The sequence below is a fragment of the Homo sapiens genome, chromosome 9 (genome assembly GCF_000001405.40).
Source record: "Homo sapiens chromosome 9, GRCh38.p14 Primary Assembly".
NCBI classification, from domain to species: Eukaryota; Metazoa; Chordata; class Mammalia; order Primates; family Hominidae; genus Homo; species Homo sapiens.
In genome coordinates, this window is record NC_000009.12 from 116,970,828 (window position 1) to 116,989,333 (window position 18,506).

At 41.7% G+C, this 18,506-nt stretch overlaps 1 protein-coding gene across 3 annotated transcripts in view; it reads right to left on the reverse strand.

Annotated features, from left to right (window-relative positions):
* ASTN2 (astrotactin 2) overlaps positions 1-18,506 on the reverse strand; it is a 991,946-nt gene that overhangs the window by 547,716 nt on the left and 425,724 nt on the right. For 2 of the 3 annotated variants that reach the window (NM_014010.5, NM_001365068.1), the window contains 3 exons: positions 5,874-5,958; positions 5,287-5,361; positions 4,381-4,518 (listed from right to left, as the gene is read on the reverse strand). In NM_014010.5, the coding sequence (NP_054729.3) occupies positions 4,381-4,518; positions 5,287-5,361; positions 5,874-5,958 (298 nt within the window). The remainder of the gene's footprint in view (positions 1-4,380; positions 4,519-5,286; positions 5,362-5,873; positions 5,959-18,506) is intronic. The other variant, NM_001365069.1, reaches the window with a different exon arrangement.

Sequence of the window (18,506 nt, forward strand, 5' to 3'; positions counted from 1 at the left end):
AATGACTGAGGCGCTCCAAAAGCTGAGCTTTGTGGGTGATTATTATTCCAACTATAATAGCTATTCTCACATTTATCTTATAAGAACCTGCTCCAGGTGAAATTGTGAAGAAGGCCCAGTATGCAGTAATAAGTGTTGTTTGCCATGCTTCTCCCTCCACAAGCATCTTTTATTCCATCTCTCAAGTTGGTCTCTTGTTTCATGCTCCTTGCTATACCATGAAACTCCTGAAAGCAGAGGTGGGCTGTATTTATCTCTGTATTCCTGTGGTATATGGCATAGTATCTGGTACACAGGAGGGATCCAGCTAAGATTTTTCAGAATTAAAATATATCTGTATGCAATTCAGCTAGAGATTTGCTCTTCCACCTTTGTAGCTGGCATCGTTAGTGTCTCAAATGCTAAAATCTCATTCCCAGCAGCTTCCTGCTAGGATAGGCTGGAGAATGGGAGCTGTCCAGGGGAGAGTTTTATTTTGCCCTTCAACCCCTCACACTTGAAAGCCTTACCCCTCACCTTAGATTGCACAAAGTCAAAGCTTAGCTACAGTTTTTGAAAAATTGGCAATGTTCTCTCTCTTGAAAATATTTGCTTAATTCCCTCAGTCGGATACATCTTCTTTCTTTTCCAATCCTTTCCAGTCCCCTAGGGCACTCTATGTTTACCACACATGTGACTCTTCATTCATTCTGTAACCATGTCCATGTACATAAAGCCACAGACCTAGCATACTGAACTAGAATTTATAGACTCATTTAAGTCTTCCTCAAAGCCCATGACAAAGTGGTTAATATGAATCCTCAACACTGAGCAACTATCGATTTTCAGTTGCACCATAGGTCGTCTTTAGCCTTTCAGCGAAAACATGAGAAAATAATGAAAAGATAAAGAGAACAAAAGCCACTATGTTACAATAATGAGCATGATAACTAATGCTTCTAAAGAGTTCACCAGGTAGCAAACTCACTGCTTTACATGTAATATGTCACTTAATCTTCATCACTCCATATATGATATGAGATTTTTATTTCCATTATTCTGAAGGGGAAACCACAACTCCAGAAAAACTCCTGCAGCAAGCAAGTGATGGAGTTAAGATTTGCACTCAGCCAATTTGCTTGAGGTCCATAGCCTATGCCCTCAGACAATAAACTTTATGTTTAATCAAAATATAGAATACATAGAGAAAAGTGTGAAGCTCAGTGAATTTTCACAGAGTTAAAACACTCATGTAACCACCACCCATAACAATAAATCAAACATTATCAGCATCACATAAGCCCACTTGTAGTTCCCCATGTCACCACCCTTTCCATCACCCAGAAGTAATCTCTATCCTTTCTTCTAACATCATAAATTAGTTTACTCATTAATGAAACTAGTTTTTTTTGTTTTTATATAAACATATGATATTATTTTGTGTCTGGTTTCCAAAATTCTATATCATATTTGTTAGATTCATCCAAGGTGCTATGTATGGTTACTGTGTTCTTTCATATTCATTATTAATGGCATTCCATTGTGTTATTATTCCATAATTTATTTATCTACTTTTTCGCTGATGGGTATTTGTATTTTTTTTTCTAGCTTTCTAGCAGTACAAATGAGTGCTTCTATTCGTATTTTTGTAAGTCCTACTTGTGGCACACATTTACATATTTCTGTTATACATATCCTTATGGGTGAAACTGATGAGCTATAGAAGATATATACCTCCAACTTTAGTACATAACACTCCACAGGTTTACATAGTGGTCATACTTATTTATATTCTCACTATAAAAATATGAAAGCCACAGTTGTTCCATATCCTTCCTAACATTTGTTATCATTAGTTGTTTTAAATTTAGCTGCCTTGGTAAGTCACAGCCTGTACATTTAACTACTAAGTTGTTCTGCCTACTGTAGTGTGAGTTCTCATACTTGTCCAAGAATTTATCACAGATTAGAAATCAAAGAATCAACTTGCAGTGCACGTTCAAGTTTTCCTTTCCAATCCTACTGTAATGCTTACCTTCCGTTTCCCTTTGACTCTGCTTTTCCACGTAGTCTTTCCTCTAATCTCTTTGTTGTGATTCCAGGGCAGTATTATTGGCTATCTATAATTATGATCTATTATTTATTAAATTTCCAACATACCATCTGACTGGAACTTATTAATTCTCTAAATGCCCATGATATGCTTGCCTGGGCAATGTCATGTCAAACAAGGTTTATTAGTGCAGCTTGGAAAACTCAATCTACATAGTGCAGATTCTCTCAAATGGTGATGATTGCAATCTTTTATCCCCTATTGCAGATCAGGGATTGAAATGTGGCTTCATCTCTTACTAGTGAAGGCATTACCTCTATGCCTCAGGTTTGTTTATTTATTTTTGAATCTGAAAAATGAGCATCACCTCATGGAGCTGATGTAAGAATGTAATAATATTAGTGAAGTATTCGGCACTTACTTAGAAAATGATCGATGATATGAACTATTATTATTATTATTATTATTACCCTCTGTGAGGAAGGCACTGTTATTATCCCCATTTTGCAGACAAATAAATGAAAACGTAGAGAATTAAACTTGGCCACCATGATCACACAGTTCACACTTGGTAGAGATGGAATTCTAAAGCAGCCCTATCCAACTCCAGAGTATGTGTTACCATCAGCCAGTCTGAGAGAGCTGCATCATCTGAATCTTCATTGAAATCATGGATGCAATGTCAACAGGACAGAACTATGAGGAAAGCTAGTCAAGACTTTCTTTTCAGCTGATTTCAAACGAGGTAACTGTGTCTTTTTGAGAATAGTCTTTTAAACCAGATGGTCCTTGCTTTATCTTTAAAATATATAATGCAGAGAGAACTTAGCACATGCTTTACTAAAATCTCGTATACTTCAATTCTATCAAAAATGAAAACAATGGTAAATATCGATGAATCAGTATGTGAATGTGTGTGTGAAGCTATTTTAGTTCCTAGTAATCACTATTTCATATCCTAAGTGCCATCTCTTTATAAATCTATTCTTTTTAAAACATCCTCTTTTGGGAAATGCTAATAGCCTAGAAAAGCATGATAAGTTCATCCCTCCCAGTGAAAGCTGACAAGGTGAGAGTAAAAACATCTTAAAGTAAGAGAGTTGGGTTCTAGGAGCTTTCTGTCAAGATGCCATAGAAATACTGATAGCATTGTGATTTAGAATGACCCAAAGGCAACTATGGAGCTGTTGAAAAACAGTCACTGGTAGTTAGGGGGTCCATGATTTAATTCTAGTTCATGAGCCAATAAGCTGTGTACAAATCAGTTTTAGAAGTAAAACTACTCTATTCTTGGTAACATCAGAATTTCTAGAATGCTTCCCCTAATCAAATTGGGAGAAATAAATCCTCCACTGGAAAGCTCCAGAACAGTGCTAAGATCAGATCTAAGACCACAGACTTAATTAAATCAATAAACATTTAATAGATGTCCAATATGTACTAGGAGCTGGGGATTAAAAAGCTAAATAAGTTATTTTCCTTGACCTTGAGAAGTGCACCATAATGGGGCAGAATGATATGTAAGCATCTAATTAGTATGAAGTAGAGTAAGTCTATAATGAAGTTAGCTACAAGCTGCAGGATAATGTAAAGTGAAATGTAGTCTCCGTGGTTTTATAAGTTAAGAACAAAAGATTTAGCCTGGACTTTTTTTTTTTTTTTTTTTTGAGATGGAGTCTCACTCTGTTCCCCAGGCTGGAGTGCAGTGGCTCGATCTCAGCTCACTGCAACTTCCGCCTCCTGGGTTGAAGAGATTCTCCAGCCTCATCCTCCCAAGTAGCTGGGATTATAGGCGTGCACCATCACATCAGGCTAATTTTTGTATTTTTAGTACAGACCAAGTTTCACCATGTTGGCCAGGCTGGTCTCGAACTCCTGACCTCAGGTGAACCACCTGCCTTGGCCTCCCAAAGTGCTGGGATTACAGGCGTGAGCCACCACGCCTGGTCTTTAGCCTGGACATTTAAAATTCATAAATTAGCCCAAAGCACATCCCATGGACTACAACAGAAAACATCCCATTTTCTAAATTTTTGCCTTTGTGACTCTCCAACATACTGTTAAGTAAAGATAAGATCATTAATGATCCCATGATGAGCTAGATAATGCATCAGCCTCTTTTATATTTAATATAACCAAAAAGGAAAGCAATAGTGTTGAAACGTAAGGCATTGAGACACAGTGATGGAGGTCACATCTAAGAGTTTAGGAGCATGGCATATTTGACAGTGTTCTTCACATCAACTAAACAGCAAGAACACTCCTTAGGGGTTCCTGTGGTTCTCCAACAGGGGGACTTCCAAGGTTTTAAGAAGTACCTATGCAGAGTACTGGAGATGATTCCCTACCTGACATCTGCAGGGTCTTCCGTGACGAGCACATCGGTCTTGCAGCTGGCCAGGGGGTTGATGGACAGCTCCACAGGCGGAACCACAAAGCTTTTGCTGACAGGAAGCCAGAGGCCTTGGCCCAAGCTGAAAGTAGACCTGCAATGTAAGAGTTTCCATTGGGGAACTCCCTGGGAAGCAGAGAGCAAACAGAAAAAAGGGGCCCCTGTTCCCATCCCTTCTAGGGCAATTTCCTACTTCTCCATCCATATCCCCAGCATTATTTAAGGAACAATGTTGGCCAACTTTCTCCAGACCTGGATGATCATTTCTCAAATCTGTTAAACATTTAGCTCATGAATTGCTTTGTGTTGCTAAGTTCCTTTTCCTGATTTACTAGTGGACTCTGTGAGGATAGGGACCATTGCCGCTCTGATTTTCCAGCAGTCCTGACATACAGCAGGAGTTCCATAAGCGACTGCTATGTCAGCAGGGACAGTCTGGCACAAAGGTTAAGAGCACGGACTTTGAATCAGTTTGAACTAAAATTTGATTCCCAGTTCTGCCACTTAATTTGCTGTATGTCTTTATCTACATGTTCATTGAAGTTTTACACAAGATTTTGTGGAGGTGGTGGGAAGAGGTTCTATGGTTACAGAGTATTTTTAAACCACTGGACTTAATAATCAGTAATGTCTCCTCCAGTTCAAGTATCTGAGTCTATAAGTCTAGCTGCCAGACAAATGGGAATTAGATTCCCATAGCAACCTGCGCCATGATGGTACATTAGTGCCAGGGAGAGTTCTTTTGTACTCAGTGCAGCTCAGAAGTGCACAGGCTCAATAGTCTAAGGATCCATGACCACATCTTCCTATCAGTCCTTTCTCCATTTCCCAGAATTATGCCCCAACAAGAAAGCCAACTCACCTGAGAATCTTTTCAGGGGCTTGCTCCCCTGTCACCAGATCATAGCCCCTCTCAAGTGTCGTGTAGGGCCAAGGTCTATGGGAAGAAGGAGAGGGGAGAGAAGATGACATTAGTCAGAGGCAGGTAGAATTCACATGTGGACACTGCTCTAGAGTAGCTTTACAAACAACCAAACTCTGCAGAAATAATTATTGGGCAAGACTACTTATATTATAAAAGAATGTCTCCAATTTACAGAAGGATTCAGCACTTTCATAAAGTATGCATGTCCATTCAGGAGTCTGTTTAAAAATGTTCTTCTTTTCTTTGGCAGTCCACTTAAGAAAGTGTTCATTGATTACTTTGTTTGGACAGGTGACTTAAATGTCAGCCTTTGTTCTCTAGAATATTCACCAATCATGTACCTTTAATACTAAAATGTGATTCCATGGGAAAGTAGGATTCACTTCCCATTGGGTTTTGCAGGAACACTACTGTTGCAGAGAAAGAGTCCTCTTTGTGGAGATGCTTGGGGCCTCTGGTAACAGAACAGAGGAGGTAAAAGTGGGTCCTGCACTGTCCTGGACCTGATGCCCTTTGCCACTCACCCTTCACTCTGTCCCCAGTCACTGCGCACACACAGGTGTCTGTGAACAGGGTCAGGGGCATAGCCTTCATGACAGCTGCACTCTCCTGTAAGTGAAAAGAAAAAAGATTATTGTTAAGTAGAGTCTCCCCAAATAGGCTTTTCTCTGGTTTGCTTGTTTTCCTAAGACATAAAGTGAGCTGCTTAGTTTTAGAAAAGGCACATGGAAAGAGGGTAATCTTGTCCATCAACCACTGTGGTTAACAGAGTTTATTCCTTTGTTCATTCACTCATTTATTCCTTCAACAAATCCTGGCCACACTCGTACAGGTGCTCAGCTCAGCACTGGAGATACAGAGGTCAAAGTTGCAACCCAGCCGCTAAAGGAGCTCACAACTTAAGACAGGGAAACAGGAAGTGATCAGGTGGCTACAAATGGAGGTCTTCTTTTCAAATATTAAAATTATGATAAAATGCATTTACTCTAGAGGTATAATCAGAAAATTGAATTATCTCCATCTGAATGAATAGGTCTTCACCATCCATAAATCCCAAGTTAAATGCCGCTATCTCCAAGAAACCTTTGATTTCCCCTTTCAGAAAAACCTGTCTGTAGTCTCCTGGTTTTATTTTGTGTTGCTTTTCATTTTTAAATTATTTTTCCTCTCCTCCCCTTCCTTCTACTGCCATCTCTTCTCTTGTCCTCTTTTCTCCTCTCCCTCTCTCTTGCCATTCTTTTTCATTTCTTTCCCTTCCATCCATTCATTCATGAATCAATCCATCCATCCAACCATCCATTATTTTTTTTTCTGGCCATGCCTTACGCTTGGTTGCATGAATGCTTGCTAGCATTACACACTGCCTTAAGTATATTCTCTCATTGGCCAAGTTCATTTCAAGTGGCCAGCATATGTCCAATTTCCTAGCATATCTTCAGAGTCCAGAATCCTAGAAGTGATTTCAGAATCTCTCTGTCCTACTCCCAGCTGTTGTCATATCTGCTCTACTGTATACTTAAGGTATAGAATTTCTTTTTCTTTTTTTTTTTTTTTTTGAGACTGAGAGTCTCACTCCATCACCCAGACTGGAGTGCAGTGACGTGATCTCGGCTCACTGCAACCTCCACCTCCCAGCTTCAAGTGATTCTCCCGTCTCAGCCTCCCGAGTAGCTGGGATTACAGGCATGCACCACCATGCCCAGGTAATTTTTGTATTTTTGATAGAGATGGGGTTTTGTTATATTGACCAGGCTGGTCTCAAACTCCTGAACCCAAGTGATCTGCCCACCTCAGCCTCCCAAAGTGCCGGGATTACACGTGTGAGCCACCACGCCTGGCCTAGAAATATTTTTTGATTTAATGAGTTACTGCTTTTTTCTCCAAGGTTTATTTGTGAGATGCTTAAAGATGCTGTACCAAAAACAGATTCTATTTAAAAATGTGTTTGGGTAATACCACCCCATTCCTCAAAGCCAGTGTAGTGTGATTCTCCATGAGGGTGATACATACACAATTTTCACCAACTTATTTTTCTTTGGGAGCCTTGTTGGTGGAATGACTCACAGGATTATAATTCTATGGAACACCTCTAGGGAAATGCTAGTAGGAACCGCCCTGACTTTGCTTACTGCCTAGAATAGGGTCAGTGCTTAACAATGTGAGTTGAATGAATAATTAACTATCTGTTATTGCTCTGGTAAATTTCCAGGCTAATGATGTTGGCTTGTCTTCTTTCTCATCTTCTTGTAATCACATTATCTCATTATCTCTCTCTGTATCTCTCTCTGTATGTATCTCTCTCTCTCTCTCTCTCTCACGCACACACACACACACACACACACACACAGAGAGATAAACCTGTCACCCTTGGATCCTACAGTGATTCTGATAGACAGGACCCAAAAGTTTTCAAATCATGTCCATGGAAATGTATTACTTAACAGAGATTTAGGGACTATGCAAATTTTATATTTTAATTTTTCTTAAAAGTTTTATTTTTTAAATTGTTAAAAATATAAAAACAAGAATAAACACTCAGATATCACATGCCAGAATTTAGGATACTGAAGAAAGTATCAGTTGCCAGATAAACTTATTTTATGCAGGCTTCAGGGAAAAAAAAAATCTCCTCTCATCTTTGTTTCATCTAAAAAGATACTGAGGATGAGTCAAGATGCCAACAACCTCATGCTATTTGCAACTACATATTTTGGGAATCAGGATTTTCTCAACTTTATACAACTAAAACAAAATATTGTAGTAAATAGAATACTAGGGTAACACGGGTTCTACAACTATCACCCTTAATTCTGGATTTTGAAATGTATGCATTCATCAAGTAAACTTATTGTTATCTCTGATGAACTGTAAGTGTTATATATTTGACCTTATATGAAGCATTCTGAGTGTTTAAAAACACTGTAACTTGTTTTATAGATGACACTGCTGCTTAATCTTTGTATTCCCAGCACCCATTGACAAATAGCCTGGGCTTCATGAACGCTGCCTGAACAAAAATGGTAGTAAGACAGAGTATGGAGTGAAGAATGGGTCAGAGATAGTATTCAAAATATTCAGAATGAGGTTGTTGAAAGATACAAGGAGAGACAGAAGACATGTCCTTTTCCTCTCATCTGCTTACCTGAAAAATAAGGAGGGCTTGCTCACAGGTAGGAATGCTCTCTGTACTCCTTCCCTGCAACATCATGCCTGGGGTCTTCCACCAAGAGGAAGTGCTGTAAGTAGTGCTACCTAATGAACTGATTGTTGCCAGAGGTAAGAGGAATGGAAGGAAAAGGCTAAGAGCCTTGAATGTGGATGTAAATAATTTACCAAAGCGAGGAGGGGCAGGAGTCACTAAAGAAGTGTTAAAATGCAACAGTCCCTTCATGAAATATTCACCACTTTAAACACGTCTAATATTAAAGATTAAAAGTCCTGGGATTTGTCCTCCAGACTCCCAGGACTGATTTATGATCTGCTACAAGCCACAGGCCTCATGATTCATAATGGGAGAGGTAAAATGGTTACCTCTGGCAAAGGAGCAGGAAGTCAGGCTGGGGTGGATGAGGAGGGGCCAACAAGGAGGATCCCTCTTGTTTATGGAAAGGGCAAAGGCTGAGGTCCCTATCTCTCCTGCAGTGACTCTGCAGGAAATACCACAGTTCACTTCTTTCCTCTTTCTCTCATTTTTGGAAATATTGGTGACATTGAGAAATTTATTCAGAAAAAGGGTGCTGCTATGTTTTTCTCTCCTCCTTGTGCACTTACCAGGCAAGTTTTCCCTGACTCAGAATGGATCATTAATTACTGATGCTCATTATACAACAAATATATATTTTGCAATTAAGAGGCATTCACCCTGGAGACCCCCATGAGGCTTCCTGGAGAACGGAAAGTAGGCAGAGGGAAAAGCCCCCGAGTGCTAGCAGCAGATGGACCCGGTCCCATCCTCTTGTTCTCTCCCTAGTTGTGTGGCCTTAGGGAAGTCGCCTTTTTGGTTTCAGCTTTCATTTACAGAATAGGGATGATAGCAATGTCCATCTCCTAGAGCTGATGTAAGAAGTAATTGAAATAGTGAAGAATGAAGCTAGTGGTTGAGGTGACAATTAGCTGATGGTCATACTACCCAGAAACTATGCACACTACATGGGTGCAATATATCCATGTAACAAACCTGCAAATGTACCCCCTATATAAATAAAAGTTGAATTAAAAAAAAAAAAGAAAAGTGTTTCCTTCCCTTTAATTCCAAGCTGGCCACTGGGTTCTGGTATATGTTTACATTTAGACAAAACTATCACCCCTAACTCCTTACATATTAGACATGTAGAGACACAAATTACCTCCTTTTGGGGCCTTAGTTTCTCCTTCTGTAAAATGGAAGGTTGGAGTAGATCACTCATCACTTCTGAGCACCAAGACTCTGCTGTTTGCATTGCCTTTCCAAATCCCTAACCTCTGCTTTCTGGATACTGTTTGTTTTAGTTTCAGCTGCAATCATTCTTAGCAGCAGCCTGGGTGTCTCTAGCAAGATCTCCATCAATGCCATAGGTATTGGCTTTATTGACTCCTGTTTCCTATTTTGCTGGCTCAGCTAAATCTCCACTATTTGCAACCAGGCATTTCCTTCTTGACAGATGAAAAGCCTCTGACAGCCAGAGCTGAGGGTAATTAACCTCTTCCCTGGGTGACTCCTTTCTTCAACTCTGCTTCTGCACACCCAGAGCAGCAAGGCCATCAAATGACAGCTCTCTAGGGATGCATGTAACCATGCTGACTGTGAACTCCTGTATAGGGATAGGGAACTCCCTATCCCTATAACTCTAGTACCTTCCTTGCTCACCACTGCATCTCAGCACCTCCTGCATTGCCTGGTACAGAGTAGGGATTCAGTAAATAAATGCTAAATAGATGAAGGGATATATTTCACAATAGTGATGCCTATGCCAATGGAATAGGACAATAATTTTTTACTTGCCTGTTCCCCCACTAAGCTGGGAATTTCTTGATTGCAAAAACATTTTCTTAATCATCCTGTATTCTAATAATTAGTATAATGCCTGATAAAGGGTAGGCAACTCAATTATTGAATGAATGAATGAATGAGTGAATTCATACATATATCATGATTACCATGAATTTAGGCTGAGTTCATTTAGAATAATGATGACTCTGCTGAGGACTGGAAGAAACTTTCTACATCCAAGATAGGTATTTGCCAAGGAAACAAAGAGTGCAAACACAAGTGCTGATGAAATGTCAAAAATAGAATTCTATTTTACATCAGAGCAGAAAAGACCCTTAAAGATCAGCTAGTTCAAACTTTCCCAGTTTCATTATTCAGAAGAGGAAACTCAAGCTAAGAGAGTAAAGGAGTTTGTCCAAATCACTGGCCTAGCCTCTGGGCCAGCCAGGATGGAAACCCAGGGCTCTTGGCCACCACTTCAGTGTCCTTTTGCTGCATTGGTGGTATCAATAGTTCAATGCATCCTGAAGTCTTTTGCATCAATTTTTCTGTACATTTTTGACATTACCAAGTTTTCTAAAAATGAGAGCATTGACAAACAGGTATTATTTAAACAGTAAAATGAATTTGAAATACCCTTAAGTACATTAAAAACATACATGTATATGTTGTTAGTAATGGAGACCTAAAAAAAAGAATTTACTCTCTTCACTATATTGGTTCTCATAAGGGAATTCAATTGGATGGTTTTCTATCTGGCTATTTACCAGAACTGTGTTATCAGCAGTAGATGAGTTGTGTTGGTTTTAAAAGATTTACTCTTCATGTCTCCTGGCTGCCATTTGTTGAGGTCTTTTTCTATGTTATATGCATTCTCAGTCCAGAAACTCTTGGGTAAAAACAACAAAACACCTTGATCATGAACAATCTGTGTTCATCTCCTGTGAGGCTCTTCCAAACAGGACAATGCTTTCTTGCCAACCACATAAGGCCAGTAGGCTGGTGAAATAGTTCAGAGTGTGGGTGGGCCTTGAAATCATCATGTACTGCATTCAAATCCTGGATCTGCCTGCCACTTCAAATTTGCAAGAACCTGATAAATTGATTCTTCTCTCCCTGAGCCTGTTTCCTTTACCTATAATGGAGCTGACACCATATGCCTGTGGGAAGGATCAAGTGCTGTACTTGAAAAATCCTCAGCACAGTCTTTGGCACATTTCTTCTTGCTGAGAACACAAAACAGCTGTTTGGGTTCATATAATTATTGTTCTTGGGTAGGAAAGGCCCATCCAGTATGTTGTTTTAGCAGAAAGGAAAGGTGCTTAGAATGAAAGATGGTCAAAAATCCAAGATGTGCCCTTTGCAAAACCCAAAAGACCACAGTTTCTTTATCTGTAATTTGGGATTTTTTTTTTAAATTATCATTATTATTTTTTTAGAGACAGGGTGTTGCTCTGTTGCCCAAGCTGGAGTTCAGTGGTGCAATCATGGCTCACCGCAGCCTTGAGCTTTTGGGCTCAAGAGATCCTCTTGCCCCAGCCTCCCAAGTAGCTAGGACTATAGGCACGTGCCATCATTCCCAGCTAATTTTTAATTTTTTTTGGTGAAATGAGACCTAACTATGTTGCAGAGGCTGAGATCTTGTTCAAATTCCAGCAGTTTGAATGAGATAATCCCCGAAGCTGTTCCTGTGTTTCCAGAGCTACGAAGACATGTTGCCTGTGTCCATGGCAGCCCCTGCTGAAGGAGGTATGGGCACGGACAAGGCATAAGCCAGAGGCCGCTGCCTCCTCCACCCCAGCAGCACAGAGGAGCTCATGGCTTGCCCATGAGAGTGCAAAGCCTCCTTCATAAGCCATCCTGGCTGTCTGACTCCCCTCCCCAAACCCTGTCATTCTATGATTCCATTTTCACTTGCTTCTAACTCAGTCATCACTTATCATCACCGGCCAGGGATGCTGCCTGCTGTTCACTTTCTTATTTGCTCTTCTTGTCACTGTGGTTTGAAAAGACATCTCTCTGGGCCCTCAGAGCAATAAACATGGATCCCTTCCCCATGTTGACTCCAAGTGAGCCACCTTGGGACTCTTCACCTCTGTAGCTCTGTAACTCAACTCAGGGCCAGGCACGTAGTGGGAAAAGTATGGGTTGGGCATAACATTATGAGAGCCTGCTTTGTGCTAAAAGTGGTATGTGACATTTGACATGTGTCATTGCATGTCACAGCCATGACTAGTACAAGGAGGAAGGTACTGATGCCCTCCTTGTAAAATAAGGAAACTGAAGCTAACACTCGACTAGTCAGTTGCCCTAGGTCATAGGGCCAGGTCTCCAAAGCTCATGCTTGCTTACACCACCACAAACATCACAACAATAAACATAACCACAAGGACAATAACAAGGACAGCTGCCTTTGACAATGATCATGTGTGAGACACTGAGGGTCATTTCTCTGTAGTACTTAATTATGCATTCGCTTCTTTGCAGTGGTTAATTGTGGGAAGAGTAAATTTTCTTTCCTTCCCTTTGTCTTCAGGCTTGGCATATGACTTGCTTTGATCAATGGGATGATGAGAGCCAGGACTTAAATAATCAAAGTTGGAAATATATTTATGTGGATAGGCTTTCCCTCTTGTACTCCTGCCTCTTGCCATTAGAAAAAACATCTACAGGCTGTGGCTGGTCCATGAAGGATGAGAGATGTGTGGAATAGATCTGGATTCATCCTCAGCTTAGAGCCAAGGGCAGCTGAGTCCTGGCTAGATCAGTCCACCCAGATGTGTGACAAAGGAGAAAAAGATGCTTACTTATAGTTGTGGACAATAAAATGTGATTGATATGCAGCGTTATTTTGGCAAAAGTTTCTGATGTACTTTAAACCTAGATGTCTACATCTCTATAAGTAATGGTACCAGTTTCTTTCCTAATTGGAAACTTCAGAAAAACTTCTAATGGGGCCCTATTTTGTACTCTCAGCATCTGAGTGATATCTGAATCCCACTGATTCTACCGCTTTGGTTTTATCCAGACCCATTTATTCCCATCTCTCTTCTCTGCCACTGGCCTGGTTCAGGCCCTCAGCATTGTCCATGTGCTATGAACCTATTTTCTGTGTCCCTACATCTGATCTGACTGTTGGCCAGTTATCTTTTCAAAGAACAGCTGCACCCATGGCCCTCCCCAAAAACTCTCAGTGGTTTTCAGTTGCCTTCAGGGTAGAAGTCACATATCCCAGTCAAAGCCTTTCATTACTGGCCCAGCCAATTTTTCCAACCTTATCAATAACTCTGCCTCCCTGTGACTTTTATGCTCCAATTTTTTCTGAGTCTATTGGTAAGAGCAGGGTCACTTGAGACCAACGTTCAGACCCTTTGAAGCTTCTTTCAGCAGGTCTGCCTTGGTTCTACCCAGGGGTCCCACTCAGAGATCCCACTCAAGCAAAGCCTGAGCCCTGGAGAGAGACAAAGTCAATGAAGGAGAGACTAAAGTAAGAGGGAGAGGAGAAAAGGGAAAATTAAGTGGCAAACAATTATTTTGTAAAAGAATGAGATAATTTGGGCACTGTTGAGTATAAGTAATGTCATCAGGGGATACATTTTACAGCCCTGAATCCTCTGCAAATCATTCTACCTTTCTGGACCTCAGCCTTCCCATCTGTAAAATGAGTGGGTAGTACTTGGATCTCCCACTTTTCCAAATCTTGTTAAAATTCCAGCCCTTGATTCTTCCTCTAATATATTCTGGTCTGGTTTCTTGAAATCAGCATCTCTCTTGTAATTCAGGAAGCAGGATAAGTTTGGGGGCTTGGGGGAACAGAGGGTTGGTAGGCAAAGAAACATGATTCGCGTGAAATAACAAGAGGATATAATTAGAAGCTTTATGAAATGAGGAAGATTCTTTATAAGTCTACTCAGCCAAATGTATTGTGTGACCTGAGGTAGTTCCCTCCCTCTCTGGGGCTCAGTTTCTCTATCTGTACAGTGAGGAGGCTGGTCTTGACATCTGAGCAACTTCACATGGGTGTCTCTGATATCCCTTTCTTCCTTATACTGCTGGTGTGAGACTTTCCAACCTTGTTCTTCCCAAAGCACTGAGACAAATGTGGACTCCGCATTGTAGCTGCCGGCCCCTTATTGTTATTCATCAGCACGCCTCTGAGAGCACAAAGTAAAAATAATCAGAGGCTGAAAGGTTCTGGTGGCACAGGCTGGTGATCAGGTCTGATAAGAGATTAGATTCCTTAATCAACGCTACATGGGGGCTAATTATTGTTGGCTCAGCTCATGTGGACAGTCCATACGGGGTGGTCAGGCTGCTGAGAGGCTGCCAGCCAGGCCCCATCAGGGCCCCTGCTCCAGGTTCTCAGCCAGGGTAACCCTTTCCACTGGCCCTATTCCCTTTCTTTCTAGCCTCTTCCACCTCTGAGTGCACCACAGACATGATTATATATTATTAGTGTCTAGGAGAAAAGCATGTGGCAAAGAGCTTCCCGCAAAATCATGGCTGATTAAGTATGGAGTGGGGTGAAGAAATCTCACTAACAGCCTGGAATGGACACAGAGCATGTATTTCCAACAATCCAGAAGGATCTGGCTTCAGCTGATGAACACAGGACGCTTAACATGGATGCACAGAGCTGAGCCTGCCGGTGAGAGGCTGGCTTCTCCTCACCCTCACTGCACGCCAGAGCCCTGCAACCTCTAAGCTTCTCAGATGCACCAGGAAGGCATGGAGAGCAGAGGGACACAGCCTGGTAAGGGGAAAGGTGTCAGCCTGGCAACCAAGGCCATTGGAGGCTGAATCCTCTGTGGCCTGCATCAATCACTGCACCTCTGGGCCTCATCAGAAAACGGGCATCTTAAACCCAATTTTTAAAATTGTCACAAGGATTGCAGACAATATATTAAAAACAGTTACTGCATCGCCAGACGTGTAGGCAGCACTTGGTATGTTGCAGTGTCGTTATCGTGATTGCTGCCAGCACTGCTGTCCTTGCTGTGCTGTTGTCCAGGCTGCCCCCCCCCACCCCCCTGCAGTCACGTTTCCTCCTTGATTTGGTGTCCTTGCCCCTCTGGGCTGCAGCTGCCCTTCCAGGCTTCCTGCTGTGTTAGTTCCTCCTTTTCTCCTCCCGACCGGATTCATCTCTGGTCCAGATCTTACTGCTGCAGACCAGCTACCCTTCTCTGGATAATTCCTCTATACCTGGCACAGGGGAGATGGAGGCAGAGAGATGAATCCATCCTATTTTTTCTACCTTCAAGCAGCTGGCATTAGCGTAGGAAGACTTGGAGGAAAATACATCACTGCACAAGGTGTGATTCAGGCTAGAAGAGGAGTGTGCAGGAGGTATAGGAGCCTGAAAGAGGATTGCTGAGCTCTGCCCAGGATGGGGGCTCACCAGTGAAAAGGGAGGGTAACAATAAGAGAAAACCCAGAGGGATAACTACCTGCCAGGCAGTGTGGGAAGTTCTTTGTTTAGATTAACTCACATGATCCTTCCAACAAACCAAGGTGGGCTCTATTACTAACCCCATCTTGCAGACGAGCAGACAGAGGCCCAGAGGGGTAGTACCCTGCTTGCTGAAGGTCACAAAGTCAAGTGTGCCAGAGCCAGAACTGGAATCCATCCAGCAACTGTGCTGCTTCAGAGATGGTTCTGCTGTCCCCAGGCTGCACTGACTCCCTTTCCAGGAGAATTAAGTGTTTTACAGAGAGAACAACAGGGATGAAAGCAGGCCACAGTGTGCTTGGAAAATGGTGGGCCCTTTTGCTTTGCTGGATCAGTGGGGAATACTGCAGGCACAGCCAGAAGGCTTAATGTGCACTGAGGAATCCTGCCCTGGTTCTGCAGGTATGAAGAAGCAGTCCCTGGAAACTGCCACAACCCCTCTGCAAAAATACAGTTGTGCCCCCTTATCTACAAGATGAGTTCCAACCCACCCAGTGGATGCCTGACACTGTGGATAGTACTGAACCCTACTGATGTGGTTTGGCTCTGTGTCCTCAACCAAATCTCATATTGAGTTGTAATCCCCAGTGCTGGGGGAAGGATCCAGAGGGAGGTGATTGGATTATGGAGACAGACTTCCCCCTTGCTGTTCTCATGATAGTGAGTAAGTTCTTATGAGATCTGGTTGTTTAAAAGCGTGTAGCCTTAAACAAGGATAAATGGGGACTAATTGGTGTTGGCTCAGCTCATGTGGGCAACCCATGTGGGGTGGCCAGGCTGCTGAGAGGCTGCCAGCCAGGTCCCATGAGGGCCCCTGCTCCAGACTCTCAGCCAGGGCAACCCTTTCCACTGGCCCCCTTCACTCTCTCTCTCTCCTGATCTGCCATGTGAAGATTGTGCTTGTTTTCCCTTCACCTTCTGCCATAACTGTAAGTTTCCTGAGGTCTGCCAGCCATGCTTCCTGTACAGCCTGTGGAACTGTGAGTCAATTAAAGCTCTTTTCTTCATAAATTACCCAGTCTCAGGTAGTTCTTTATAGCAGTGTGAGAACAGATTAATGAACCCATATTTACTATGTTTTTTCCTATATGTACATACCCATGATAACATTTAATTTATAAATTAGGCACAGCAAGAGATTAAGAACAATAAATAAAAACAAAATAGAACAAGCATAACAATACGCTGGTATCACTACTCTTGCACTTGGGGCCATAATTAAGTAAAATAACGATTATCCAAACACAAGCACTGTGACACCTTGACAGATCTGATAACTGAGATGGCTACTAAGTGATGACCAGCAATTAGCATATACAGCGTGGATACTATGGACAAGGGAATGATTCATATCCTGGTGGCATGGAGCAAAATTGTGTGAGATTTCATCACACTACTCAGAATGCAGCCCAATTTAAAAGTTATAAATTGTTTACTTCTGGTATTTTCCATTTAATATTTTCAGACCGCAGTTGACTGTGGGTAACGGATACTGTAGAAAGGAAACTGTGGATGAGGGGGAACTACTATAGCCATTCTCAAATGCTGAATTCAGTTGTTAGGGTGGTGAGAGACAAATTTAAAAGTAGAGAAGACAGGCAATGGAGTCAGAATGGAATTAGAGATATGCATTTGCCAATCAATAGCTCAGTGACTTTGTAAAACTTCCTGTCTCCACCCAAGACTCAGCTTCCTTATTTCTAAGTTAATCATGCCCACTCTTCTCATTGAGCAACATGAAAAATGGGCTCCATAAGTATCACCTGCTATTGCTATGACTACTATTAGGGAGCTGGTGGCTTTCCTGACCATGGCTCTTATTCCAGACCTCTTGGTTATCACTTAGAAAAAGGAAAATACCAAGAGATGCTCATGAAGTTTGTTAATCATGACCACTTTTGATCCACCTTTTTGCCTTCAATCCACTTAACCACCCTGTGAAGCGGGTGCTCATGTCCTGATTTTATACAGGAGGAAACTGAAGCCGCAAAGTGTTAAATGACTTGACCTCAGTTCATATAGCAAGAAAGCAACAGGGTCAAGATTGGAACCCTGACCTGCTTGACTCTGAAGTCAGAGCCCCTCACCTCAACTGTACCATATAAAATGAATGAACTCAGCACAACCCGGTGTCTCATCAAAATGCCCTTTGTGACCCTACTTGGCCATCTACCATACTTCTATAGGAGCTTAAAGGAATGTAGATGAGATCTTGCTATGTGGTTGTCCACTTCATGGGATCCTGGAGCTCTCTTTTCCTGCAAATTGCTGGGTGGCCTTACTCAAGTCATCTCATCTCTCTGAGTTTCATCATTTTGACCTGAAAGATGGGGAACACAACTCTGTTCTCCCTTATTCATGAGAATGCCATGAGGATAAAATATATGCTTAAACCATTCAGAACACATGATGATTAATAATTCAATTCCCCACCTGAACAAAACCTGAAACAGCAAAGTGAAATACACAAAATAAATTAAGCCAAGAGTAATTATTCATTTTGCAAAAGGGTTCTTCACTCCACAGAAGAGACTCATTGACATTTTTTTTTCCAAGCAGCAGCTATCTTTGGGAATTTAAAATTAAATTCCATTTATACAATTATAGCAAAAATACTAATGATTTTCCAGAGTGCACTTTGAGTGCAATGGGCCATACCTGTGTGTCCTGCCCATGGCATCAGACAAGGCAGTCTAGAGATCCAGAAGGGGTCAGAGAGGAGAGGGACCTTTGCTTTTC